Source organism: Homo sapiens, chromosome 2, assembly GCF_000001405.40.
Source record: "Homo sapiens chromosome 2, GRCh38.p14 Primary Assembly".
In the NCBI taxonomy this organism is placed as follows: Eukaryota; Metazoa; Chordata; class Mammalia; order Primates; family Hominidae; genus Homo; species Homo sapiens.
In genome coordinates, this window is record NC_000002.12 from 144,414,165 (window position 1) to 144,441,409 (window position 27,245).

Consider the following 27,245-nt stretch of genomic DNA (forward strand, 5'->3'; position numbering starts at 1 on the left):
CTGTAAACTTAGACCTAACTGGCATTTCTGTTCAATACTTGAAGCAGTGCCTCTCTGATTCCACCACTTCCCATCCTAGCTTGTACTCTGCTATTCTTCTCATGTATTTTGTGAGACATGAACAGGACTGGCTATATGGTTGGTGGGGCCCAGTGTAAAATGAAAATGTTGGGCCCCTCATTCAAAAATTGTCAAGAGCTTCAAGACAGCAACTGCAGAGCCAACCAAGCAGCCCTTCTCAGTGCTGGGCCCTGTGCGACTGTGCAGGTCCCAGACCCAGGAAGCTGGCCCTGTGTATGTTATCGTGAGGCAGGGCCCCCGAGAGCCTCCCATCCCATGACGGCTAGTGCGGTCCAGTAATTTTTTTGTTCATGCTTCCAGTAAAATTTCATTAGAAGAAAGGGCAGGGTGGGGTGGAGTTCAAAATTTCTAGCCTGATTTCCTCATTTAACAGATGTTACAACTAAGGTACAGTGAGGTTAGTGATTCATACAAAGTTGCACAAGTAATTTCTGGAAGAGCTGTATGTAGGATTTATGTATCCTGACTCTTCACCCACTGCTCTTTCTACTGCACCATAATGACTCAACATGAGAGAAAGAGGCAAGAAAAGAGAGAACCTCATCTTTTTAGTTTTTCATCATGCCTGACTTGGTACCATTTGAACAGGCCCTACATACTGAAACGATCACAATGACATTATAAGCAATTCTAAATAGCAACATTATTACACCATACAATGAATATGGGGGGAAGTCAGTTAAAATGCCCACTTCAGAGTGTATGTGTGTGTGTGTGTGTGTTTGTATATGTGTGTGTAGAAAATTTTTACTTTTTTTCTTTTTTTTTTTTAAATGTCCCCATTCCTCTGAATCCTAGACACTTGTTTTATTCTTACATTTTTTTTTTTAACTGGGTAATCCAGAGCTGGGTCTAGTGGGGCAAAGAGAACACATAAAAGTTTTTCAAATTCTCTGTTCAAGATGCTTATTTAAAATTTCCATTTAATATTTAAGGATTGTATTTCCTAATTTGACTGTTTCTAATTTGTAATCAAGTTTCTAAAGGCGCTCAATAAAGAATAACTTTCCATAGCACCTTGCAAAGGTGAATTTTTATTAGGTATTATTTTAACATCTGTTAAAATAGCAGGTATTAGTTATTAGTTAGCAGATATTAGATATTTTGTGGTTATAGTAAACAAGAAATGCCTCAAGCTTAACTTTGGACTAGAAACCAAAAAAGAACTTTATTCCCGGTTCATTTTGCTTTCCCATTTCACATATTACTCGTTATTTTCCTCCCATGCTTAATTATATCCTCCTACATGTGTTCCACTTCTTCAGACTAAATGAAACTGTGTCATCCCCTGATAATAACCCATCCCTTACAGACCTTTTCCACAGGGCCATTCCTGCTTTCATTTGTTATGACTCACAGAACAAAGAGGAAGGGTCAACAAACTCCTTAATTCACGCTACTGCTTCCAATCAATGTTCCTGTTTCGTCAACTCACTCATCATTTATTTCTTTGTTTATTTATTCATTAATTCAACAAATACCCTGGTTATGAACCATTAACACTGTATAAACCACTGCATCCTCTGAGAGGGATTATGGAGAAGAGCAGACCTAACCTCTACCCTCAAATTGTTTCCACTCTGTAGCTGTAATGGTTTGAAGTCGAAGTCGAAAGTCATCCATTTTCACCGTCATGTTTTAGGACATTGCCTGTATACTGCAAGCAAAATGACGCCTGTCCCATGATTACATTTCCCACAGGATGCCATTGCATTCTGGGAAACTTCATCACTTAATAGATAGTCCATGCAGAACCTGGCTTCACAGTGCTTAGGCTTTCTCTAATCCAGCAACATGGATGGCCACACTTGCTCCTGGGCTAACCCTGGGACAAGAACCAGAACCGCGAACTTTCGCTCTCTGATTTCTACTTTCTCCCCTTGCCTATCATCCAGTTTCTCATTCCCTTGAAACGTGTACTTCAATGTGACAATCAGGCCCTGAAAAGTTTCCTAGTCCCTTTTACCCATTCTGATTTTATTTACCTCAGTTCACCTTGGAACTTGAAATCATCACTTCCATCTCTGTCCCTTACACTTGTATCATTCTTACCCTGCTGAACTACGATCCAGTCCAATTTCTGGAGTATCAAACGTATCTTAAAAAAATCTTAAATAATAGTATAGTCTTGTTGCAGACTATGTTTTCAAAATGGGATATTCCTTCCTAATAATTGAATCTCCACGCATTGTCCACAGCAATTATTCTACATGTCCATGTCTCAAGATTCCAACTGTATTCCTATTCCCTTACTGCTGACTGATAGTCTCTTTTTCCTATTGACTTCAAAGAGTGCAACCCATACAGTGTGTATTCCTTGGATCATCTTAAATTGACTACATTCTCTCCTATCATCATTCTGTCTTCTTCTTCTGATCTTACTGCTAAAAAATAAACATTATTGTGGCTATCATCTAAAATTATTCTCTTACAACTCGTTTGATAACCCACTCCATCTTTCACCCAGTCTCCTTTTACATTTCAGCCTTTCTCTCTTTCTCTCTTGTGCACAGAGGCATACCCAGCAAGTCTTTGTCTTGAAGAAAGTCTTCCCTGAAATTTGCAATTTCTTTAAGGCACCTCTCTTGTCCTATCTCCAATATTTGACCCTATACTGTCAGAAACCCTCTACAATACTGAACACTTTGCATTTGAACTTACATAGCTTGCTGTATTTCAAATAAAACGTCTTAATCCAGATGATATTATAATCAATAATAATGGCTAGAAATGATAGCGCATTTATTATGCGCTAACGTTGCACTAAATATTTTACATGCATTTCGTATTCGTCTACCACTGTTTTATTCACCCGGATGAATGTAGGTCCTTAATGACAGTGACTCTTCTTTTCTCACTGTATCTTTTGTGATGACTAACAAAATGCCTTGCACTTAGTAGGGTCCCAATAAGTGACCATTGAGTTGAATAACTAATGAGGCTATAATTATTTATTTGTAAATTTTCTCTTCTTGTCATTATGATTTTTTTTTATCAACACCCCTAAAATTTTATGTTGCTTAGTGGAAGGAACTCACCCTTCTATTTCCTTAAAGTTTCCTCAAGCCTCAGTTCAAATTCTACATACAACAAACACTCTGAATGTATGTATTTTAGTGGTTGTTAACAATGGGCAAATGCTTCGTTTTTGTTTATTGGTTGTTATCCAGGGTAAGAAGAAAAAAATATATATGATTTTTCTCCACTTCCATGAGAACAGCTTTTTAGATTCCACATATGAGTGAGGTCAAGTGATATTTATGTTTCTGTGCTTGGCTTATTTCACTCAGCATAATGTCCTCCAGGTTTATCCATGTTGCTGCAAATGACATGATTTCATTATTTTTTATGGCTAAATAGTATTCCATTGGGTATATATACCATTCATTATCCATTCATCTGTTGATGGACATTTAGGCTGATTCCAGAAGATGAGGAGAGTAGGGGGAAGGGTGAACAATGAGAGATTTCTCAATGGGTACAAAACTACAGTTAGATAGGAGAAATAGTTATGTTGGTCTATTATGTGACTGGAGCTCACAAAAATGTAGTGCATATTTCAGAATAGCTAGAACGGGGGTTCTCGAATGTCCTTATCACAAAGAAATGATAAATGTTTAAGGAGATGGATATGCTAATCACCTTGATTTGATCATTAATTTATACATGTATCAAAACATCATGTTGCACCTCACGAATATTAATATGTAAAATTGTTATGTGTCAATAATAAATTTTTAAAAAGAATACGATTCCTGATGTGAGTCAGTTGTCAAAGAAAGGAAAAGTCTGACAGCTTTCATCATTATTATACGTAATCATTATAAATACTACTAAATCCTCCTCCTACACAGTTAAAGAAGGGATGCTACATAAAAATGAAATCAGATATAAAACGAAACTAGTTCTTAACCTTCATATTTTAGCCTCAAATGCCAGAGTACTGAAAATAATGTGTCCTACAACTTGTCTGTGTAGTTTTCCAGAATGTCAAAAGAACTTAAATGTCAAAGCCTCTCAAAATTGGTTAGTTCTTTCATTACAAATTTGTTAAAATTGTATTTTTGTTTCCTAGAGAAAAAGTTAAGGAGGAACCAGTATGAATGGAGAAAACCGTTTACGATGTATTCATTTCTTAATGAACAAAAATAGTTTGAAGTTGGCCAGGCCTGGTGGCTCATGCCTGTAATCCCAGCACTTTGGGAGGCTGAGGCGGGGGGACACCTGAGGTCAGGAGTTCAAGATCAGCCTGGCCAACATGACAAAACCCCATCTCTACTAAAAGTACAAAAATTAGCCGGGCGTGGTGGCGCATGCCTGTAATCCCAGCTACTCAGGAGGCTGAGGCAGGAGAATTGCTTGAACCCAGGAGGCGGAGGTTGCAGTGAGCCGAAATTGCACCATTGCACTCCAGCCCGGGCAAAAAGAGCGAGACTCCATCTCAAAAAAAAACAAACAAACAAAAAAAAAAAAAAACTGGCAAAACAAAACAGGGTGAGCATCTAGTCTATGTTAGTTGTTGTACTGGGTGCTTTAAAAATGGCATGCCATGAGAATGACACAATGGACTTTGGGGAAATGGTGGGAGGGTGATGAGGGAAAAAAAACTACACATTGGGCACGGTGTACACTGCTTGGGTGATGGGTGCGCCAAAACCTCAGAAATCACTACTAAAGAGCTTATTCATGTAACCAAACATCACCTGTTCCCCAAAACCTATTGAAATAAAAAAAGAAAGAAAATAAAAATAAAGTTAAAAAATAAATAAATAAAAATGTCATGCCATTTAATCCCTACAGCGAGGCCTTGTACATAAGGAATCATGATTTCCACTTTACCGATGTAGAAATGAAGGCTTATCAATTACACACTCAAGTTAATGTAACTAGTAATTGGTAGAGATAAAATTCAAGTGTAGGTAATTGGTCTCTAGAATCTGGAGCCTCCCAAAACAATTGCCTCTCATATGTGAAATAATTTATGTATTATTCTTAGAATACTGGAAACAAGTTTGACTATAGTTAGAGTCTATAAAGTTAGTTCTTAGACAAGAAATTTATTGTGTTGTGTAAGATTAAGAACTGATGCCTAAATTGGCCTTGCCCAGTTTCTGGATGTAAGGTACCTCTTCCCCCTCTTAGCAAAGGAAGCGCAGATGCAGGTGGTTATTAATAGCCCTTTATAACTAGAGGTACTAGATTGTCTGAGTAAATATAACTTTCACACATTCAAAGAGTAAAACATCAGGGCCCTATTTGGATATTGATATGCACGTGGAACTGCATTAATGCTAATGATCACCATGCACCTAAGATAGCTCCTTGTTACTACTAGCACGTAGGCAAACTCATGTGTATAATGCTTCCAAGTTTTTCCATTTCTCTACTCTTCTTAGAAAATGGTTCATTCACACACTTAAAAATTTTACCTAATAATTTCATTTTGAATTTAAATCCTATTAATATCTGAAAGTTGTAAGGCTCTTTGTTAGAAGATATTCTTTATCTTACGTGTGAAAGCATTACAATTTTGTTCCTTTTTTAAAAAAAAATAAAAACTGGTGAACTTATGCAATGTGGAAAGTTATTAATATAAATCCAGGTTTGCACTGTTTTATGTGTTATAGATCAATTTTGCCATTCAGTTAATCTAACTTTGTTGTTAAAAAAAAAATGTAGTGATACTCTAGGCTATTCTTCTTTGCCTTTAACAAGGCAAAATCCTTCAGGGACTTAGATCCTAGTTTCACTCTCTGAAGATACTTAGTCTCCTCCACAGAGAATGTTTTCCCCTACTGTGGCTTCCTTTATCAGAATCCATTTCTTCTCCACCAAATATTCATTCATTGATTCATTCATTCATTTCACCAGTTGTAATATCTGCCATGTGTGCTCCCTGCTATAACTGGGCTTGTTGAGGCAAATGGAATAGTCCTTTCCTTAGGGCAAACATTTTTTTAGTCACTTACTAATATCGACATATACATTCTGATTATTACTATTTTTGAGATAGGGTCTTGCTCTGTCACCCAGGCTGGAGTGCAGTGGATTATGGCTCACTGTAGCCTCCAACTCCTGGACTGAAGCCATCCTCCAGCCTCGACCTCCTGAGTAGCTGAGATTATGGGCCAGACCACCACAACTGGCTTCATTATTTATTTAATTACCTCAGTAATTATTTATTTAATTACTGGCTAGAGAACAAGGTCAGCCAATGAGGTAGATACCAGGATGATCCACCCTCATTTTTCAGCTGAAGAAACCTCTTGTCTTCATGAAATTGACTACATGAAATAAGGGCAAACAATATAAGGAGGAACGATGAAACATGCTGAAGTTAGCCACATACACCTTAGGGTTGTGGGATTTCAGAACCCCACAAGGGTTCTGAAGAGATTGCTGTCGTTTGGGGTGTTCAGAGATGACCACATTAAGGAAATGGGATGTGACCTGGACTTGAAGAACAGAAGGATGGGGAGAATTTGGATGACTGGAAGAAAGGAGCTGGGGGATTAGGGTCTGAAGGGATAGCATGGGCAGAGATTCAGAGGTTGGTATAAATGTGGTTCTTTTTTGTTGTCACCAAGGGATTTGGTCTGACAAGAATGGAGCGCCATTGGTATACAATGGATGGCACTTATTATCGGACTGAAGAACGTCCTGTAGGTGCTAAGGGGCAATTCAGGATTCTAAGAAGGGAATTTGGACATTGAGGAAACTGTTATAGGAAAGATGTGGGCTGACTAAATAGAGGAGGACATGAGGGACAGAGAACAGTCAAATATAACTAAGGCTTTCAAGTTTGGATGACTGGAATAATGGAGAGATGAAAATGTCTGGTTGGTTACTTCAGGCCAGGGCTCAAAAATATGTTAACCTGAAAATACAAAAGGGAAGTCCAAGTGCTGTTTGTCTCCCATTCACTCGCTCATTTCTTCAGACACACTTTGTGATGGAGACCATTCCAGGATCCATGGCGATAAAGCAGCCCAAACCCCACAGGCTCATTGGAGGGAGACATTCTAGTGTGGAATGGCTAGAGAAGAAATTCAGCCAATAGCAGGAGCTTGATGAGCAAGACTTGGGAGCAGAGGAAGATAGTCTTTTAGATGCAATTTCAACCAGAAAAGATGTATTATTTCTAAAACCACATGTATTTAGCATCCAAAGAGATGTCAGGGAGAAGAAGTGGTAAACTTGTAGCTAGGAAGAAAGAATATGTACTTATTCTCTCAAAGGGCAGAGTTGTAAGCTGAAGATCACTAGTAAATTTCTAATTAACTAAGTCCAGTGTATTTGCTCAGCTTTCTTTCAAGGGTAGTTATTTGAAGCTTTTAACTGAGTTCTCACCTTTACGAAATTCTCTTTCTTTGCTTCTGAATGTTTAATTTTTTTCTCTTGTGTCATAATCTTTTTTTTTTTTTTTCAAAAGAAAATCTTTGTTGATTTTCCTCCCCACCCACCAGGAGCCCTGGCCTCAGCTTTCTACTTGCTTCAACAAATACACTCAGTTGTAAATCTCATAGTCCTGTGTGATCTTGAACATGATCTGAGTATATTTGCATAACTCTCAAATCTCTATCTCCAGCCCTGACTTCTTGGGTTTCAATTCCTCATTTCCAAAGGACATTCCTATATTCCCATATCTATATATCTTTTATATGAAAATACTTGTGTCTAAAGGCTGGTTCAAGATCTTCTCAAAATTAGATCCTTCTTCTGTAAATCTAGAAATAGCAAGTACTGCTATATGCTAAACATGCAGATCTGTAATTTTGAAGCCATTTTGCCTCCATCATTCAGAGAATCAATTGTTTGTTAAGAAGTCATGTTGCTAATTTCATCACTGTCTCCACCTTAGGACAAGATTTTTATCACTTCACACCTGGATAACTACAGTGACTTCCAGTTGGTCTCTCAGAGTCTGGTTTTCACCCACAGAAATCATGGTAGCATAACATGACCCAGACTCTTCTGTCTGGTGCTTTATATTCTCCACCATCTGGCTTTAACTTAAATGTCCAGCTTTATTTCCCAGAAATTGCCTCCTAGGACTCTCTGATTCAGCCAAAACCCTTTACTCACTATCCTCTGAATAGATGTCACACTTTCCCTTCTTGGCTCACAGACTCCTCTTCAATTAGAAAGCCCTTCCTCACTCCTCCATGACTATTGAAAATGTATTTAGTTCGAATTCTACCTCCTTCACAAAACCTGATGTGAATGCCCATTCCATAGACTCTCTCTCACTTCTGTAATTCAAATAATTATAGGCCAGGCGCAGTGGCACATGCCTGTAATCCCGGCACTTCGGGAGGCCGAGGTGGGAGGATCACCTGAGGTCATGAGTTCGAGACCAGCCTGGCCAACATGGTGAAACCCCGTCTCTACTAGAAATACAAAAATTAGCCGGGCATGGTGGTGCATGCCTGAAATCCCAGCTACTAGGGAGGCTGAGGCAGGAGAATCGCTTGAACCTGGGAGGGAGAGGTTGCAGTGAGCCGAGATTGCACCACTGCACTCCAGCCTGGGTGACAAAGTGACACTCTTGTCTCAAACAAAACAAAACAAATCAAAACAAAACAACAAAAAACTAAATAATTATGGCTCCTACCATTTGTTGCAGGTTTATCACATATTTTCACTTATTCTTCATCATTATTTTTTCAGGTGTATTAGTCTCATCTTCCAAATGAAATGATAACCATGTTTTAGTCTTCCTGACCCATCTTCTACCACATATGCACACAGCAGTGACTATATAGAACACACTCAATGAACACTTATTGATTTATTTATTGACTGAATACATATGAACTACAAGGTACAGCAGGTATTATGAGAAAAAAGGGGTGTTTAAAGCCTGGTGAAAAGACATTCAAGATTGATTTTTAAACCTTCTGAATAGAAGCAATTTTTATTAACCTCACTTTAAACTCTAGGTGTATACAACAGCTAGTAAATTGTTACTTTGTGGGGTAAATTTTCTTTTGTGACACTTTAAGTGCTTATAAGGGTAATCAAAATCAGCTTTTATTTATGCTGGAGGCTGAAATTTAACATTTATCTTTAAAAGGAACTTGAAGCCATTTTTGATCCCATGAGTTGGGACATTATAGAAAGTATCTAATTCATGATATCGCTTTATTTTTGTTTTAATATGAAGTTATTTTATCTTGTTTCTATTTTTACATGGTGATAATACCCATGCAACATAAAATATTAAAACTAGAAGTATTATTATCAAGAAACTAGTTGAATCTATTCGTTTTGCAGTTGTGGGAACTGAGTTCCAAAGAGGAAAACTGACTTGCCCAAGGGTTACAATCTAGTCATTGTCAGGGCTGTGTGTAAAAATTAGGATTCTTGGTGCTTGATTCTATACTTTTTCTAGAATCATCTATTGTACAGCTTTATTTTTATACCTTAAATTGACATTATTCGAATGAATAGAATGACAATAGGTTTTTATTATTTCTCTTATTTTATACCCAGGAAAGTGAATTCATGCTTTTAAGTTATTAATAAGCACATTTTAAACAGAAACACAACATGAGCAGTCTATCATGATGTGTATCAACATAAGGGTGATGTAAAATCATCTTAGTTTTTTACATTTCATAAAACTTCAAGTTATTTTTCATGGATGAGTTGAGTAGAAGTAGTTACATTTTTTTTTTGTTTTATTTTGGAAGATAATTTTATGGTGGACACTATGCTAATATTTGTGATGGTAGTGTAGAGGACTGTTTGCAACACCCCTCCCCTCCACAAAATAAATAGTCTCATCTAGGAAAAGAGAGATGGAACATGTAAATTTGTGTTGGTGATGTAAGAATGTGAGAGAAGATGCCATTCAGTGTTTGGGAAAAAACATGGAATATCACAGTTGTCCTGAAACTCCATTCTATTGCAGTAGCAGAGTAAAACAAAACACCACTCAGTATCTTCCCACTGTAATTTTTTAGCTTCATTAAAAATAAGTAAACTTGTCAATTCTTCTCTAAAACTGCCTGGAAAAAATTATTTAAAAGGGCTCAAGGATGCAGAGAATTACAAGTAAAGAAAGGATTAAAAGGAACTGAGATGATTAATTATTGAGAGAAATGTTCGTGGAAATTTGTCTTTCTGAAAAAAAAATTTTACAGTCTAAATTACACCTTATCATTTGAATTCTCAACGACTGATATCAAGTGGTGGCTAGCAGAGGTATATCATATCCTAATTTTAAAATAATTTTTTGCAGTCTTTTAAAATAAAAGTTACTACTAGAAATTCACCCAACTCATGCACTGAAAGGATCCATTCATAGAGTTCAGTATTCTTGAGCGTCACAGGTAAATTAGGGGTGTGAGAATGAAAGATGTATTTGCTTAGTAAAATACCAAAATGTAGGAAATTTTGATTTGAAACAAAACCAGAGACCTGTAAAGTTGACTACTTGTTAAGTCATGGAGATACAAATGGATGTGTCACTGTTTCCTTCCCTGCCTCACTAAACCCACATGACACAGGACAAATGTGATCTGAGCGTGGCCAACATAACTCACCTGTACCATTGTTAATTGCGGTCTGGATCGTGGCTTCTGGCCCCATAGTGTCATAGTCTTCCTTCATTTCTTCTGTGGGGGAAAATTATCTTTAGCATTTGAGAATTGTAGAAAGGCTTACTATACTAAGCATGCCAAGCACAGGAACAAGGAAGATTCTTTTAAAGGAAACAGAGAAAAGGCTTGTTGTAGACCTCTAAACAATAGCTTTGTTCAGGCAATTGAATGAATCCAATAGTGCTAGCTGCACAAGAACTTATTTACTTTAAGCATTACTGCAAGCTGTGAAAAACAGAAGTGCTTATTTGGAGCAAATGAAGGGCTTTTCTTCTGGTGGCAGTTCTAGTGACAAATGGGGGAAAGATATTATTTTTTCAATAAGAGTCAAAAGCAACTAAGTATTTGCACTCATGAAGAGGCATGCTGGCTGCTATGCCTCTGGAAACTCTGGATGCTTAGTGGCAAGTCAGAATTTCACATTTTGTTTTCATGCTTTTCTTTCCCCTTGGGGTGGCTATAATGGTGCTAATCTATGCAAGCATACTTTTTGAAAACCTAATTCTACATATCAAAACTTGGAATGCCCAGTTTGTACAACAAATATCCCAGAAGTAACAACAATACCTGTTTCACTGCTTGATACAAACTTCTAAAACGTACCTGCCTTATTCCTATCCCAACTACTCCATAAATGTCTTGTCCTCATCATGATTTATGCCCCTGTAGGTAATCATAATCATTTTCTGGGGAAACATATATAACAACAGCTCAGTGTTCTGATGAAGGTGAATATATATAATGTTGAAGTTAAAAATTCATAAACAATTAAAGGTCATTGTCAAAAACTGCAATATTTTAAAATAAGGGAGAATTTGAAAAATAGGGGCACTCTCAAATTTTCTGCCTACCAGATTGTAGAGGACGTAGGAGGACAGAGCAGGATAGCTGATAGTTAAAAATCTCTTAAGTAAATTAAACGTGAAGTTTAAAAATTTTTATTTTTACTATGACAATACTAATGAGACCAAATATGCTCCAGGATGAATATCTCTCTGTGATAATCATTTTACTTAAAACAAGGGAAACTTTGTAACTAGGACTCTACGAATTTCCAAATCTGTCCTGGTCATTCTTTGCTTATCATATTCTAATCTACTTTCATGAAAGAACAGGTTCTAGAAAATGTTACAGCAAAAATAAAATAAAATATATTTTACAAGCAGTGCAGCAAATCTCTTTATGGAATCAGAACTGAAAAATCATGATCCTCTTAAGGTAAAATACACAGATATACCTGGATGCTAATTTAATCTCACTCCTCATAATAATCAGATAATTTGAATGATATTTGTTTAAGCTGTACAACCACTTAAATTCATTCCTGAGCAAGGAATTTTCCTTTATTTAAAAAATATTTTCAGAGAGACATTTTACATTAAACATTTAGAAGTTTAATATATAGCAATATTGTATTGTCAATTGTAATCATTGATCATTTGAAAGTCTCCCTCATCTGATATTTTTATCAGTCTCTGCAAGGAATCATATTAAGGTATTTCTGAGAAGTTCAGGGCTAGATATAAATATAGCTTTTGTGTCTTTCTTCCTTGCTCATCTCATGTGATTTCGGGTAGCCAAGAGTCACAAGAATCATAAGTTTTCCATCTGAGAGCACATCAAGTCACTGAGGGGAAAACAGTTAACAGCATTTTTTTTTTTTTTGCATAATAGTGGTAATGTTCAAGATTTCTGCTGCACTTCCTTCCTCATTGTCATTTTCTTATGAAAAAGTAAAGAGAAGTTACAGTAGTTGGTTGCTTCCCAAATTAATAAATGCTGGGTATACAAATGTGTAGTCAGCACATTGTGTAAATTGCATTTTGTAGTATTATTTAGTTATAACCCTTTTTATCCAAAGACTGTGCAACTGAGATCTTTCAGAGACATTGGATGAGATGGTGTCACTTTTACCTAGAAAGTACTTTGCTTTGATTCACTGAGCATCAATCTTTTTCTTTTTTGAATATCAAGCTCAATGTGTGAAAATGAAACACTACTAAGCCTTTTCAGGTATGTATTTGAAATGTTATGTATATGCCTATTTAATTAAGTTTCAAGTGAATCCATATTCAGAAGGACATAATGATACACAGTTTAGGAATATTGCCTCCGAATTAAAGGCAATCTGGCTGTCTTTCTGCCTTATGTCTAACCTTAAACATTCTCTAAGACACCTCTGACTCAGCATACTGTGTCTAAAACCACATAGTATATTTATTTTTAAAACACTTGTAAAAGTTTGCGTCTTCCAGTCACCCCTGGGATGAAGATTTGTAAAAATAAAGAGCACTTTCTTCCTTAAGATGAAGAATCCTTGAATAAGCAGAAAGAGGCCAAGATGCAGGTGATTTATTTAAGTCTGTGTCAATGATAATGATGTCATGGTTTCCAGCACACTGTGTCCACCCCATTGTGGGACGAAAGAATGTCAAGGACAATTCCAAACACAAAACTTTGATTGTGCTGGAACCGGAAAGGCACAGTAAGAACTCCACTGCGCTCTTCAGTTCAAAACCTGCATCCTGCAGACAAACTCCAGAAAGCATGGGAGAAAGAGCAAAGGAGAGAGGGCTTATCTCAGAGTAAAGCTATGTGCTGAGGTATGACTGTAGACAGCCAGGCACCGGGGATAAAACACTACTAAATAAAACTGCACCAGAATTAGAGTTATTGTCTATATTGTGTGTTTTGAACAATAAATAAGAAAAATATTTTATCAGAAGAAAAATGTGTTATCTCAGAGTCAGGATAAACAATGAGTAGCTTTTTAAGACCAATTTCTTTTCATTAGACATCAAGGCACCACATCAGAGCACTTTTAGAACAATAAAAAAAAAGAACAATAAATCATTAGTAATCATTAGAACTAGACAGGTAATAGCCGGGTAAGTTTCTTGGTCCAAATAGCCAAATGAGATTAGGGATTTACATTTTATTTAATTATTGTGACTCCAGAATGCTGGTTTATTTACCATAAAGGTAAGAGCAAAGAACAGCCTGTTCACTTGTATCACAGGCACCATTAACTACAGGTGATAACAGGGTCTGCAATGCATTCATATGGATTACTGTATATTAAAACGTTTAGAATTATGATCCATGACCAACACAAAAAGCTGCCACAATCACAAACTACTACAGCTTGACATTGCTGTTTGGCTGTTTTTCAACTATTGATATTAAATTTTTTAAATTAAACTTTTTTAAAAGAGGTTTGGGGCTGTACATTTGTTACATTGTTATTAATTATTCTTCTAAGGGTGGAAATTCTAGTAATTGGTCCTTACCCTTGATTTCTAGATATTAAAATTTAAAGCATCAGAACATTCATTCTTATAGCCCTGCATATCTAGTTCATTAACAAATATGAATAGCTAACACCAGCTCATTTAAATAGTATGTCTTACATGAGTTCTCGCCACACTCTGTTTCTGTCACACTGCTCCCAAGAATCATTGGCTCTTATTATACATGTAAATGGCTATCATAAAAATAAAAATTTCATTTAAGATTGTTAATGACTTCTGCAGCAGTCAGACTTCCTTTAATGATCATCCTCTGCCCCTAATTAAACGTATTTATCTTTCAAGCATCTTTGGCTGAGTTCTCCCTCATAGTTGAAAATCTAAAACCTTAAGGCTTAATGGATATAACGATAAATGTTTATGTGTGGGATTGCTGAGATTCGAGAAACCTTCACCGAAAGCAAAATTGGAAACGGAAAGAGTAGAAAACTTGGCACAGTATGTTAGGAAAACGAAAAACAAATACACTGTACTCAAATTGCCATCAGTCTTTTTTCTTTTTCTTTCATCTCACATTTAATTTTCTTTCGTAGTGGAAGTGCTTTTATTATCCTCCTTCCAGTATACCAAACAATTATTCTGCCTATGTTTGATGGTTTATAGTCTGCGACATCACAACAGCATATAGGTAGACTCCTTCCCAGCCACTTCACCTATTTATAAAAATGCTTTTGTTGCTTATGTTGTCAAAGAAAAAACAAGGTGGGGTAAACAATGATAACTCTCAGTGGGTCCTGGGAATAGAGATGAAGGTGACATGAGGTCTGAATTAGAGAGGTCATTTAAACAAATTTTCCAGGCCACTTTACCATGTAAAGATGAGCAGAGAAAGTTCACAGGAATAAGATTTCTTGTATTTTGTTAAACATTTCATACCTTAGCGATTCTCCGTCATAAGTGAATTTTAGACCAAGACATTTCCCGTTTGCACAGTGTTGTCGGAAGTTTTAGTTTGAATATAATTTACCTTAGTTTTATTATAGTTGGCCTGGGACCATTTTTACTTCCCTTGAGAGTCCCACCAAACAGCAGGAATCATTATCAAGTACTTAGCTGATAAATAATAAGAAAGCTACCTGACCAGGTAAAAGTGTGAAATCACATTCACACTTAACAAAAGGGAATCATTAAACGATTGAATTCCAATAGGAGGTGTCAGACAGACACTGAAGCTACATTAAACTGACAGTTATTTGGTTTGAAATGCTACATAATTTCCACACAAAATATTTTTATATACATATATATGTTGTGAGTTTTTACATTTGCTTCCATTTCCTATCATGAAAGTATAGATCTTGATCATGTTACATAATTTGCACATTGTAAATGTGGTGCAAATACCTCATGTTATGTGTTGAAAGTGTGGTTCATGTTTGACTTGCATCAAAACTGAAATATAATCCCTTCCTAAGATGTAACTGCCGCAATGTGATAACATTACTATCACTTCATAATCTGTCACCAGCTTTGGTATCTCTATTCTGCAAGGGCTCAATGGAAAGAAATATTTTAATTATTTGGTTGTGGGCGATCTGCTAGGTGGAACAGATTAGTTGAAGATGTGAAGATGGTACAGGAAGAGGCCAAGTGATTTTAGACACTTACCTGGACCATCTACAGAGGCTTGTAGAATCTCGTTGTTGTGCCAGGGGTGTTCCACTCCACCCTCCCTTATTTCATCTTCCTCTTCCTCTCTTGGCAACAGAGCTTGGCTCACGTGTGGGGAGGACTCATGGTTGGGCACACTAGCTGGACTCGTCTCCTGGTCCAGAGGGTTGGCAATACCGTCATCCTCAGCAATATGAAGCTTGTCTTCCTCATCTGTTTCAGAACCTGTGTCCACTACATTGTCATAGTTCACCACTGCAGAAGAAGCACAAAACACACTCTCTAAACACTCTGTTGAGAAACATCAGCCACCCCTAATTGTTTAGTTAAATGGAAAATAATTAATATTTTCATAACTGAATTACTCAACCATGTCAGGAAAATATAATTAATATCCTTCAGGTTTTAGCATTTTTATTCTTTTTCAATTATAGCTGGGTGCTCTTTCTGATTTTAAACAATTTTTTCCTAAAAATGATGGGAAATTCTAAAAAGCAACAGAAACATAGACACACAAACTATGCCTATACTGCATATGTAAAGAGACGTATTGCAATATGTACTTTCGATACTCCACAAAAACTTATAAAATAGATCTACAATAGACAATTTTATTAGCTTAGAGACATGAAGTATTTACTATATAATGTTGTACTATAAATACGAGATGACTTCACTATATTAACTGTGGTTTTTTCCCTAGAAACAGTAGACACACACACACACGTCCATCTATTTACCCAAATACACAAACACATACACAAACCTGCTCCATCTGAATTTTCACTCTTTCTTCTATGTCAACCGTCATGTGCTAAGGCCATTTATATCCTAATCTTTTAAGCAGAAAATGAGGAAAAGCCATATCTTCTGGGCCATTAATACTACTATTGAGATGTCTTCATAGTGTCATAATTACAGAAGATTTCAAAGTGACACAGGCAAGACCAACACAAATGTTAAAATAACTCACAAGAACCGGCGGGCTGCTTTTGCAGCCCTCAGTCCCAGCAATGCTCAGTAGCTTTTCTTAAAATAGACAGCCTGTAAATAAGGTCTGTGAACTCAATTGAAGGTGGCTGTTTCTGAATTAGTCAGCCCTCACAGGCTCTCGGCCTACATGCTAGTACATAAATTGTCCACTTTACCACCAGACAAGAAAGATTAGAGTAATAAACACGGGGCATTAGCTCAGCTAGAGAAACACACCAGCCGTTACGCACACACAGGATTGCCAAGAACTGTTAACCCAACTCTCCAGAAACACACACAAAAAAACAAGTTAGAACCATGACATCATGGGAACAAGAGGGAGAGAGAAAGGGGGAAAAAAGGCTGTGGAAAAAAAAAGCGCAAACAATTTTCAGGTTCATTTTGATTTCTCTGCGCCTAATAAAGCAATCCTCCGCTAAGTTATCAACTGAGCTATCTCAAGTGGCTCTTGCCAGCTATCGGATTATACAAAAGTGGCAGAAAAGGAGGAAAAAAATGAAAAGGATTGTGTGTCAGGTTCATAATGCTTTTGGAGAATTCTGGAAACATGTCTAGTTACAAATTTTAGTCAGTCATATCTGTTTGCTTTGACAGGTTCCCAGGGAGTAAAAAAGGAACAAAAAGAGAGAGATTTTTTTTTTTTGTCATGTGAAGCTGGGGACAAAAAGATTACACCGTGCATATCTGCTCATAATATGATCTTTGTATAATCCGCGGGTCTGCACTTGCCTTCCGAACAACTGCACAACAGGTGCAAATTAAAATGAAAACGGCAGCGGAGCCGGGCAAACAGAATCTGCTGACCTGGTTTGAATACCAATTGACGGGGGAAACAAAACCTTTTCAAGAGGTGTGACCACAAGGGCTTAGGCAAGTTCAGGCTGGGTAATGCCCTCAGATCTACAAAAAGAGAGATATTCTAACATCTCTGCTCTAGCTGTGTGGTCCAGATATACCTTAGTACAATCAATAATGTGCTTCTTTTTTTTTTTCCTGGTGACTGAGATTTAACTATTTCTTAGCAACAAGCAGAAGATTCTTTACAAATTTTCAGAATGCTGGGGGTAGGGGGGAGTGGGAATGGGGGGGCTACAACAAAAGCTCCTAAGGCCTGGGAAGCTTTCAACCCACCTCCTAAAAACTGATCTCTGGGCACAGGAGGAATAAAGAAAGGTCCAGAAGGAGTGAATAAAATTATCTAAGGCTGGACAGGCATTAAAAGGCCTTTATCCTGGAAAAAAAAAAAAAAAAACCCATGCCTTTTAAGGTCTTTTTCTGCATGGACCACAATATCCCGTGTGACACGTGAGTGTTCCTGCAGCAATACAATTGAAATATTTTCTTGTGGAAAAAAAAGAGAGATAAATGATTTATGAACAGCCCTTGAGGAGTCCCAAATATCAGAACAATCTAAACAAGCAATGAAGTCATGTCTCACCATATAGGGTCAGGAGTACAGCATCCATCACCTTCACAGGACAACAATACTTCACAACCTTTAGGGTTTGTGCTCACAAATAGTAGTAAATACTTTTAAACTAAATAAATAACTGCTGTCAAATTCACTTACAGAGGCAGTATGCCATCTTTTCTAGCGCTGTGTTAACTAGGATATGCATTTCCATATGCCATTATGCTGGTGTGCCACTCTCCCAACCCCTTTTTAAATCCAGGTACAACAATTCATAACATAGTTTTTATATCTGAATTCAAATGAGACAATCTCATTCTGCTCTTTCTGGTTGACCATCTGACAATCAAAATTAAATGCACTGAGATGGACTTTGCACTTCCTGATCCCTACCCCATGCCCCGACTTCTAAATCCCAGGATTTTCCTTTAAAATGTTCCCTCACGTCTAGTCAGTGGATTTGCCTAGTACAAGTACTGTGGAAATTTTCACCATAAAATATTCTTACTCTAGAATGGCCAATACTTGATGGGTTTAGCCGCACTTACATTATGAAATAAAAATAAGCTCATTTTCCCATTTGGACCTGTTTTGATGTTTGCCCACCATCATCACCACTGGCAGAAGAGATCTTAATAATGTAGCTTTGTCTCTGCAAAGAAGAGATTCAATTTTGTATAATAACCAACGTATACTGGTTTTAAATGAGGTTCATTGGGCAGAATATATTAGGCCAGTGTCTGTTTTTGAACTTATGATATATATCTTTTTATTCAGCATTTAAAAGCCTGGAAGTTCCCATATAACGTAGCAAAGTTCTATTCAGTCCTTACAGGTCAAATAAGCCACCCTTTGCATGAGTCTCAGCAAAATTTTAGACATGTATTGGAGCTACATGGCTGGCACAAAAACAGACAGTTACTTCAAAACCACAAAGAAGTGGGAGCCCAAAGAATTCCTTTCTGCAATTCAATAAACAAGAGGAAAGATGTACTGTTTGCTGGCTCAAAATAGACACTAATTTTACATCTGTCTCTGAGGCATAGCAAAAAGCCAACTAAAGAGCAGTAATAAATGTCCAAAAACAGCATCAGTATCCAAAACTCTCACAGTAGTCTTCAGAGGAATTAATTACAATTCTGTGTAACAGTTGCATTGGCAAAATGCACCTATAATTATATACAGGTACTGTACTGTATTACAGGGAAATTTGCCATGTGATACTATGTTTACATGATAATTGATGGATAAGATAAAACTATTTGCATATGAAGGGCATAAGAATTACTGGCATGGCTCACCATTTTATGTGGAATCATATTAAAGTTTCATTTTCTCTAAAACTGTATGTATAATATGGGGTTACCAAAGGGCATAAAGCTGATACTTAAATTTGCTTTATAGCAAATGGGCCTGGAAAGATATATCTGCATATGCATTACTAAAAGCCTATATTTAAAAGGCTTTATAGTTTATCTATAATAAGCATTATTTTCACTTCACCAGATTACATTATATTAAATCCTCTCTACTCTTCCTTCCAAGTAAACAATACTCTAAATTATATCACTATGCCAATTAATTTTACAGTCATATGCAAAACAAATAATGGTTTCTCTTCCTTGCCTATACATATAACTTTTATTTTCAGATTTTTGTGTTCTGGTGACATGTAATAGAATAGTAGCAAAATTTGACATTTTTATAACGTCCATACCTGCTGGAAAATTTCAGCATTTGCAAAAATGGCCTATCATAGCATTTAAACATTGCTGATAATTAGCTTGACATTTGAAATAGCAGAACTGTTGTTTTGAAGATGCCCTATACAATGTTACCTTACTAACCCCTTTTCCTACTTATATGCTTTCTCTACATTATTCTGTCAGTTACAGTACAAATAAGATATCAGTTGCTAATGTATTAACATACAGAAGAACTGATGTGAAGGGGCAATACTTCGTCTTCACCAGAAGCAGAAACTCTATTGATGTAAAGGAAAATTACATATGCAGCTTATAGACAGCTAATTGTTAATAAGGCAGCCAATAATGATTTCCTATAACTCTACTCAAGCGTGCCAATAAATCGTTCAATGCCATCATCAAACATTTATTAAATACCCACAATGTGGCAAATCCAGAAGATAGAAGGAAGTGCCATTCTCACCTCAGGAAGCTTACAATTTATTTGGAGAAATATAATCACAAAATTGTAGTTCCAGAAGGACACTTGAAGTCAACTCTTTGACAAAGGAGGTAATACAGGCACAGTGAGGTCAAATGGCTTGTCAAAGGCCGTACAGCTAGTTGGTAGCAAAGCCGGTACCAGAAAGCATGTCTTTAGGTGTACAACAGCCAAACAAAAACATACATGATAATACAAATTCCCAGTGCAGAATGCAATCTAAGTTTAAACCCCACATGACCAGAGTAAGGGATGGAAATCCCTGGGACTTTTTGGGATTTTCATGCCACAAAAATGGAGATTGTTGCTTAATTTTAAATTGTTTTGATGATTGTTACTTTCATGGATCCCCTTAATTTGAGTTATAGAAGCCTACCAATTTGATCAATTACCAGAATCTAACAATACACCCATGTTTCCTGCAATAGTTTGGAAACAATAGAGATAAAGAGGCAGTTCACAGAATTATGAGCTTGAAGACTTGCCTTGTCCCAGAACCAACGTGTAACCAGCTGTGTGGCCTTGGCCTATCATCCAAGGAAGCTTGGTAGAAATGAGTAAAAATCATGATAATGGTTCCCTGTTTATGAGGTTGTCATAGGAGCCTACAAAGTTGTATGTGCAATGGCACTGTGTGATGTATAAAACAGTAACATGGAAATGCAAGGTGATGTAACTGGTATAATCACTGAAATACCATTGTTTCAGTGTCTGTTGTCTTTTCTCTGGTGCTGCAATGTGTGGTGGCTACGAGGAAAAAGGAAGATTTGAACTTGTGCCAGTCACAATTTTTGTGTTGGCCCTTCACTTAGAAATTTATTTGCAAATGCTTCCTCAAGTAGGAAGGCCATGATGAGAGAGACCATGCCTAATCCTTCAGCTTAGACGTGACACAGACATGTAACTTCATTTTAAAAATGTCTCTGCTGGTAATATGACTTCAAATTTAAAATAAGTCCTTTTGGCCAGGTATGGTGGCTCACACCTGTAATCCCAACACTTTGGGAGGCCAAGCAGGGAGAATTTCTTGAGGTCAGGAGTTTGTGATCAGCCTGGGCAAGACCCCATCTCTACAAGAAATAAAAAATCAGTCAGGTATGGTGTTGCATGCCAATAGTCCCAGTCACTCAGGAGGTTGAGGTAGGAGGATTGTTTGAGTTTGGGAGGTCGAGGCTGTAGTGAGCTATGATCACACCACTGCACTCCAGCCTGGGCAACAGAATGAGACCCTGTCTTTAAAAAAAAAAAAAAAAAAGAAGTGTTTTGGAATTTTATGAATCATTTGGTTTCCTAAATCTCTTATGCTTACATGCTTAGAGATCATTTATGTTTGAGCCAGTGGATTAAAGGCCTTGTGGGCCTGCTTTCTTACAACGTCTTTACATGTGGCAAGTGTCGGGAAGACCTTCTAAGACTTTTCTCCTGAACCTTAGCCTTTATTCCTCCTTGTCTTCCCCACAAAATTTCAATTTCCAAGTATGTGCTACTGAGGAGAGGATGCAGCTATTTTTCAATAATTTTTGTCCAGTGACTCTTGCCCATCCGGGGGGATTTATCATTGACTTTTTTTTTTTTTTTAAATCACAGTTACCTTGTTACCTCCGTGCTTGGGTGGGTAAAGATCATAGGACTAAATGCAAGGTTCAATTTCTTATTTAATAATGGAGGCCTAGTGACAAATACGTATTACAAGGCAAAGACAAACTCAAACAGAGATTTTCTTCTGAATTTGAACATCTGTCACTGAAATGCATGAATCTTGATTTCTCCATTTAAAAATGGGAATAACTTTATTACTTGGGGATGCAAGATGAATGAATTAATGCCAGTTAGAAGGGACCATGCCAATTTGAAATATTCAGATGGAATGTGCTATCCAATACAAAATATTGTTATAAATAATTATTGTTAACATACTATAGTCAGCCTTTATACAAACTAGCTTGGCCACTTTAATTTTTTATCCCAGGAACATTCGAAGGCATTAAACCTGCATTATAAATTAATGAGTTGTAAAATGTCAGCTGATAAAACAAAAGCAGTTCTCAGTATAGGGATAAAAATGTTTCCATTTCAGATTAGCTATGTAAAAAAATACGCATATTAAATAAAATGAGAGCAGAATTTCTGCAATGCCATGGTTGCAGTGGAGAGAGGCCAGTTCTGAGGCTCCTCCAACTTCCTGGTTACAGGAGCATCTTGGGAAGATGGCAGCCACTCATTCCCTCTGGAAATATTAGCAGGTTCCCTGGTACCTGGGAGAGGTTTTCAAATTTCAGTATGCTGGTGATTTTCAAAAAGGTTCAAATTTCCATACATTTGTTGAGGTTCTGGATAGGCTCCAACATGCAGGTAATAACATCTTAGATATGTAATTTTCCCCTCCAAACCTCTTCCTTAATATCAAAAATATAAACATAATGGCAAATAAGAATAAAAGCAAGGACCCTCCCTTTGTCAAGCTATCCTAAAAACAGATATTGGTCGAAGAATTTGTAACAGTAAATTCACTTTCTTTCAAGAAGACACGGTATTTCTAGGTCACAGTGTTCTCAGTGAAATTTATGATTTCCCAAAGACTTGACATCTGTTTATTTTTTTACAAAAGTAAACATATTCGGGTTTTCCTGTATATCTAGGACTCATAATGGTTTTGATTACCTTACTTAACTCCTACCAAAGGAAACTAGTCATTGTATTGATGTTTCAAACATACAGGCCCCTGACCGCTCCTTTCATTTAGTGAGTTTTTGTAGTTATTTCTATCCTTTAGAAATTTTTTCAGCTTCACTTTCTGTCAACATCTATAATATGCTTACAATCCAAGGACATAATACTTAGCTATATTCCAGAACACAAGTCAATAATGCCCTTTGATGGCTAAAAAGTCTAACAGCACCTTCATCAGCAAGCCTAGCATGATGGCATGCTGAGGGAAGACCCCCAAAACAACTGCTATACACAAATAATTTCATATATATTGTACATCTACTGCCAATAATTCCACAGACTTTCATAAATACATCAAGTGACTATATGTCTTCCAACAATATGTCAAAAGGAAAAAAAGATTTTAGAAGACTCTCTCTAATTATTGGAATCCACGATCATTCAACAACTTGCTCTATACAAACCATCAGAAGGAAAGTATTAAGGGGCTTTACAGAAAAAATATGCTCACTATCATGCCTGAAGGATATTCAAGAGGAATGTGAAAATAACTGTAATTTATTTAGGACCTGGAAGTATGAAAAAATAAGCTTCTGAGCCATCAAAATTGTTTTGGTATTTTTTTTTATCTGACATGAGGGCAGACCTTGTCTAGCTTTAAGTTTTATAGTAATAAGACCTTGGAAATAAAACCTTGAATAAACGGAATATAAAGAAAGGGGAAATGTGTCCTTGTGTAAATAGATATTGTGTCTATCACCTTCCTCTGAAAAGGTTACACAACTTTCAAAGCCCATAAAAGGTGTAAAGTCAGTAACTGCCAGAGTACGTTGGAATGTGCTGTAAAAAATAAACACGAAATAGAAAAACTATAAAAATTTTCTCTGATTGTTTTAGTTGCCCCACCCTAAACCTTGTCTGTAACTGTACATTTTTCTAAGATACAGATATAACTGAAATACACTTTTAGCTATTGTAGTCCCACGAAATTAAACCACCTCCCCTCAAAAACCTTAGCATGAACCCATACCTTCATCTGAAGTAGCAACAGCTTGTCTCTTAAAGAAATATTTTTCTTGCAAAAGGCATTCCATGCTTCCATGAAAAAGGAGACTGGAGTTCTAGCCTATCCATAAAAATAATTGCTTTCAAATATTTGTCCATCCAACAGACCTATTTGGTGACTTTCTTGGTTTTCTGCAGTTTACTGAAGTCAATAATAATTCTTGAGTCTAAGGAATGTTACATGGAGGTACCGTAATGCTTCTACTCCATCAGCTGAAATAATGGGAAAGAACAGCTCTTCCAGAGGAAAACAATTACCTTCAAGGTAGCAAGAGGTGTGGCTCATCTTAATAGATCTTAGTGGATGGGGAGAAGTGAAATCATTGAGGGGGAAATAGAGTCATAGGTCTTTAGAAGAGATGTGGCTCGAAGTAGGGGGGCTGGAGATCTGCTTGTGGTAGAGGTTTCATCAGTAGCTTTCTCCTGATCGCTGTGGCTTAAAGTATGGGTCGTTACAAACTTGATCACATGCAAAAAATTCTAATCTCAGTCAATCTTGCCTCTTACCCCAAAGAAATGCCTGAAAGGGGATCATGCAATGGAGTCCAATTCTTCATACTGCCCTGACCAGATTTATCTTTGAAATCTCAGTTTTAAGCTACATCTAATACCTGAGAAAGGCATGTAAAGTTCACTTCCCTACCCAAAGGATTTCTCTTAAGGCTTAGCAGTAGATTCAGGTCTATTGGGCTAATGACATTATTTACTGTGTAGTATGTTTAAAACTGCAGCCACCCTACTCACATAGCAACACCCTGACTAGGACCCTGTTTTCAAAACAGCATCATTGCACCTCACAATTGACAAAACCAGACAACGGTGAAAGGGACAGTGACATGGCAGACACAAAAGCTCAACACATTATGGCCACTCTAAACAGAGTACAAAAGGAAGGGAGTCAGTGATGTGTAAACCAAACAATGTGAGGGGAAAAATATTGAATAATTTCTGTCATGAGGCACTGACTACAGCCAGGCTCTAATTGAATTAAACTCCCATTTATTTGCTCAGGCCTAAACAACAGGCTGGGAGGAAGAAAAAAAAAAAAAAAAAAAAACTTAAGGTTTGCTCAACTGTTCTGAGGTACCACCTTTCCTCACCCCTGTATAAATCCACCATCTGTGCTCACAAGCACACATGTTCCCTCTCTCAACAAATGCATGGAGACCCTACCAGGCACAGAAGCCAAAAAAGCACAAGGCACACAAAAGCTCCCCAGGCTGCCCCAGGTCTAAAGGAGCAAAAGGGGTAGAAAAGATCTTTTGCTCATTGCCCAGGTGAGACGGCCTGGTGCGTCCTCTCAGCCTCGACACGCGTCAAGTAAAAGAAAGGTTAAAATTAGAAAATTCAATTTATTTGATAATTTCCCAGAATAATTAGAGTTAATATGGGTTAATTAATATGCAAATCTCTCAGCAGATGTTCTGCAGCAGGGCCTGTGTGAGAAAACAGCCTTTGCTTTCTCCTACGTGATTTTGGCTGTCAGTTATTGGGTATAATTACTGTAACTAACCGAATACACACAAAACCTTTGGAATATAAAATTGTTACAGTTCTAGCTCTGCACAAGCTGCTACTTTTCTGCAATAAAAGCGAACAATTTCTTTCAGAAAATAGGAGCCTTTTTGTTCCTTTCTTGATTTAAAAAGAAGAAATGAATCAAGTAAATGGCTTATCTTTTTCTATGCATAATTAGGTCAGTATTATATGAACATTCCAATGAGCAGTGGTACAAACGTACATATAAAATGATAGCTCAAACCACCTGCAAAATCACATAAAATTGTTTTATTCAGAATCTTTTTTTTCCTTCCCCACCAGAACTTTGAAATGCTGAATGTCTTTCTTTCCAACATTGCCAACATTTTCTAAATTCAAAAGGATCCTACAACTTTATTAATTTTTTTTCTCTTCAAAGACACAAAAGAATAAAGTGGCTAAATGTTTTTAAAGGTACATAAAAGGGTGGACTCTTTTGTAAAAGAACTTGTGTGGAGTTTTAAACTTTTAAAAATGCTTGCACTTTGAATGGCTATTTATTTACATGTTTGGGCTGTTCACCAGCCTATGAAATGCACAAAGGTTCAGGGAGGCTGGAACTCAGACTCATGAGAGATAGGCTGCTTTGCATATGTCAAACTCATGAATACTTCTAAATGTTGTAATCATTTACTTAAGAGACGCTTGGTATATTTCTATACTTTGTACAATTGATCATTTTATTGAAACTGCTTTATCCTCATGTATTTGTAAACTTCTAAAGGTATACTCAAAGGCAGTGGAGAAATTTTAGGCCTGCTCTATACATTTACATTATTTGTTAAATACTTAAATCCATTTTATGGAATTATCCCCGACCAATTGTTCAACCTCAGTACCCAAAAGCAGTATATATATATATATATATATATATATATATTTTTTTTTTTTTTTTTTTTTTTTTTTAACTAGTGGTTAACTTTTGTAAAGTCCAGTAATCACCAAGCATCTATGAAATAAAATTATTCATCCCATTTTTTGGCCAGAACAATTGAGTCACACGCATGGTGTGCCTTGTCCAAATTTTCTACTTTAGTACAGGGAGGGGCAGGAGTGGGTGGCTGGGGGGACCCTTTACCCTTTAAATTTTTAGTTGACTAATTTAGTGTCAAGTCTCATTTTACAAAAGGATCCTGAGGCTTATATTGGTGGTGTAAATTGCCAACAAGGTCAATGAACTAGAGAAAATAATGTCACGATTCAGAGTAAGAGAAAGAAAAATGGATGGATTGATGTCTTAACCTTCAGAATGTTCAAATAATTGGGGGTTGGATGACATGGCATATGGTTAAGTCTTCTTGCAGCTGATGTCACCCAGACTTTCCCCTTTTTTTGCCACCCAAACTGCATGTAAACAAACAGTCCAACAACAAGTGTCCTCAAGCAGGGCGCTCCATGCTTGGAGCAATCTAGTTTGCCGCCACCAGACACGGCTCTGCTTGGACACCACAGCGCCTAACTCCAGACTTGCCCCTAAAGTCGTTCAATGATCACCCTCTTTTCCTTCCTTCTCTTCCTTTAGCTGCACGAGAGAGAGAGAGAGAGAGAGAGAGAGAGAGAGAGAGAGAGAGAACCTCATGCCTCCCTAGTATGCTTCAACTGCTTCTCCCCATGCCTCAATTCCCCTTCCCTGCCGCCTTCTGTCATTTTCAGGTAGTGGAATTTGCTGACCCTGGCCGCTTGGCGGCCTAAGCCTGGACGTGGCAAAAGTCAGATAGTCACAGTGCACTATTGAGTTCATCTGTGTCACAAAAGGGCTTTTGCTTTAGATCT

The 27,245-nt window shown here is 37.1% G+C and overlaps 1 protein-coding gene across 2 annotated transcripts in view, besides 2 other annotated features; it reads right to left on the bottom strand.

The window, feature by feature from the left end:
- ZEB2 (zinc finger E-box binding homeobox 2) overlaps positions 1 to 27,245 on the bottom strand; it is a 136,039-nt gene that overhangs the window by 30,084 nt on the left and 78,710 nt on the right. Inside the window, exons 3-4 of one of the 2 annotated variants that reach the window (NM_014795.4) lie at positions 15,605 to 15,862; positions 10,632 to 10,703 (exon numbers count right to left, since the gene is read on the bottom strand). In NM_014795.4, the coding sequence (NP_055610.1) occupies positions 10,632 to 10,703; positions 15,605 to 15,862 (330 nt within the window). The remainder of the gene's footprint in view (positions 1 to 10,631; positions 10,704 to 15,604; positions 15,863 to 27,245) is intronic. The other variant, NM_001171653.2, reaches the window with a different exon arrangement.
- Positions 12,998 to 13,292: an enhancer, noted in NCBI's record as "tiled region #3137; HepG2 Activating DNase matched - State 8:EnhW". NCBI's record gives its function as "activates a minimal TATA promoter and a strong SV40 promoter by Sharpr-MPRA in HepG2 cells {active_cell/tissue: HepG2}" and the evidence as "EXISTENCE:reporter gene assay evidence [ECO:0000049][PMID:27701403]".
- Positions 16,368 to 18,081: an enhancer, noted in NCBI's record as "VISTA enhancer hs407". NCBI's record gives its function as "enhancer in: hindbrain (rhombencephalon)[4/9] | midbrain (mesencephalon)[3/9] | dorsal root ganglion[4/9]" and the evidence as "EXISTENCE:transgenic organism evidence [ECO:0001131][PMID:17130149]".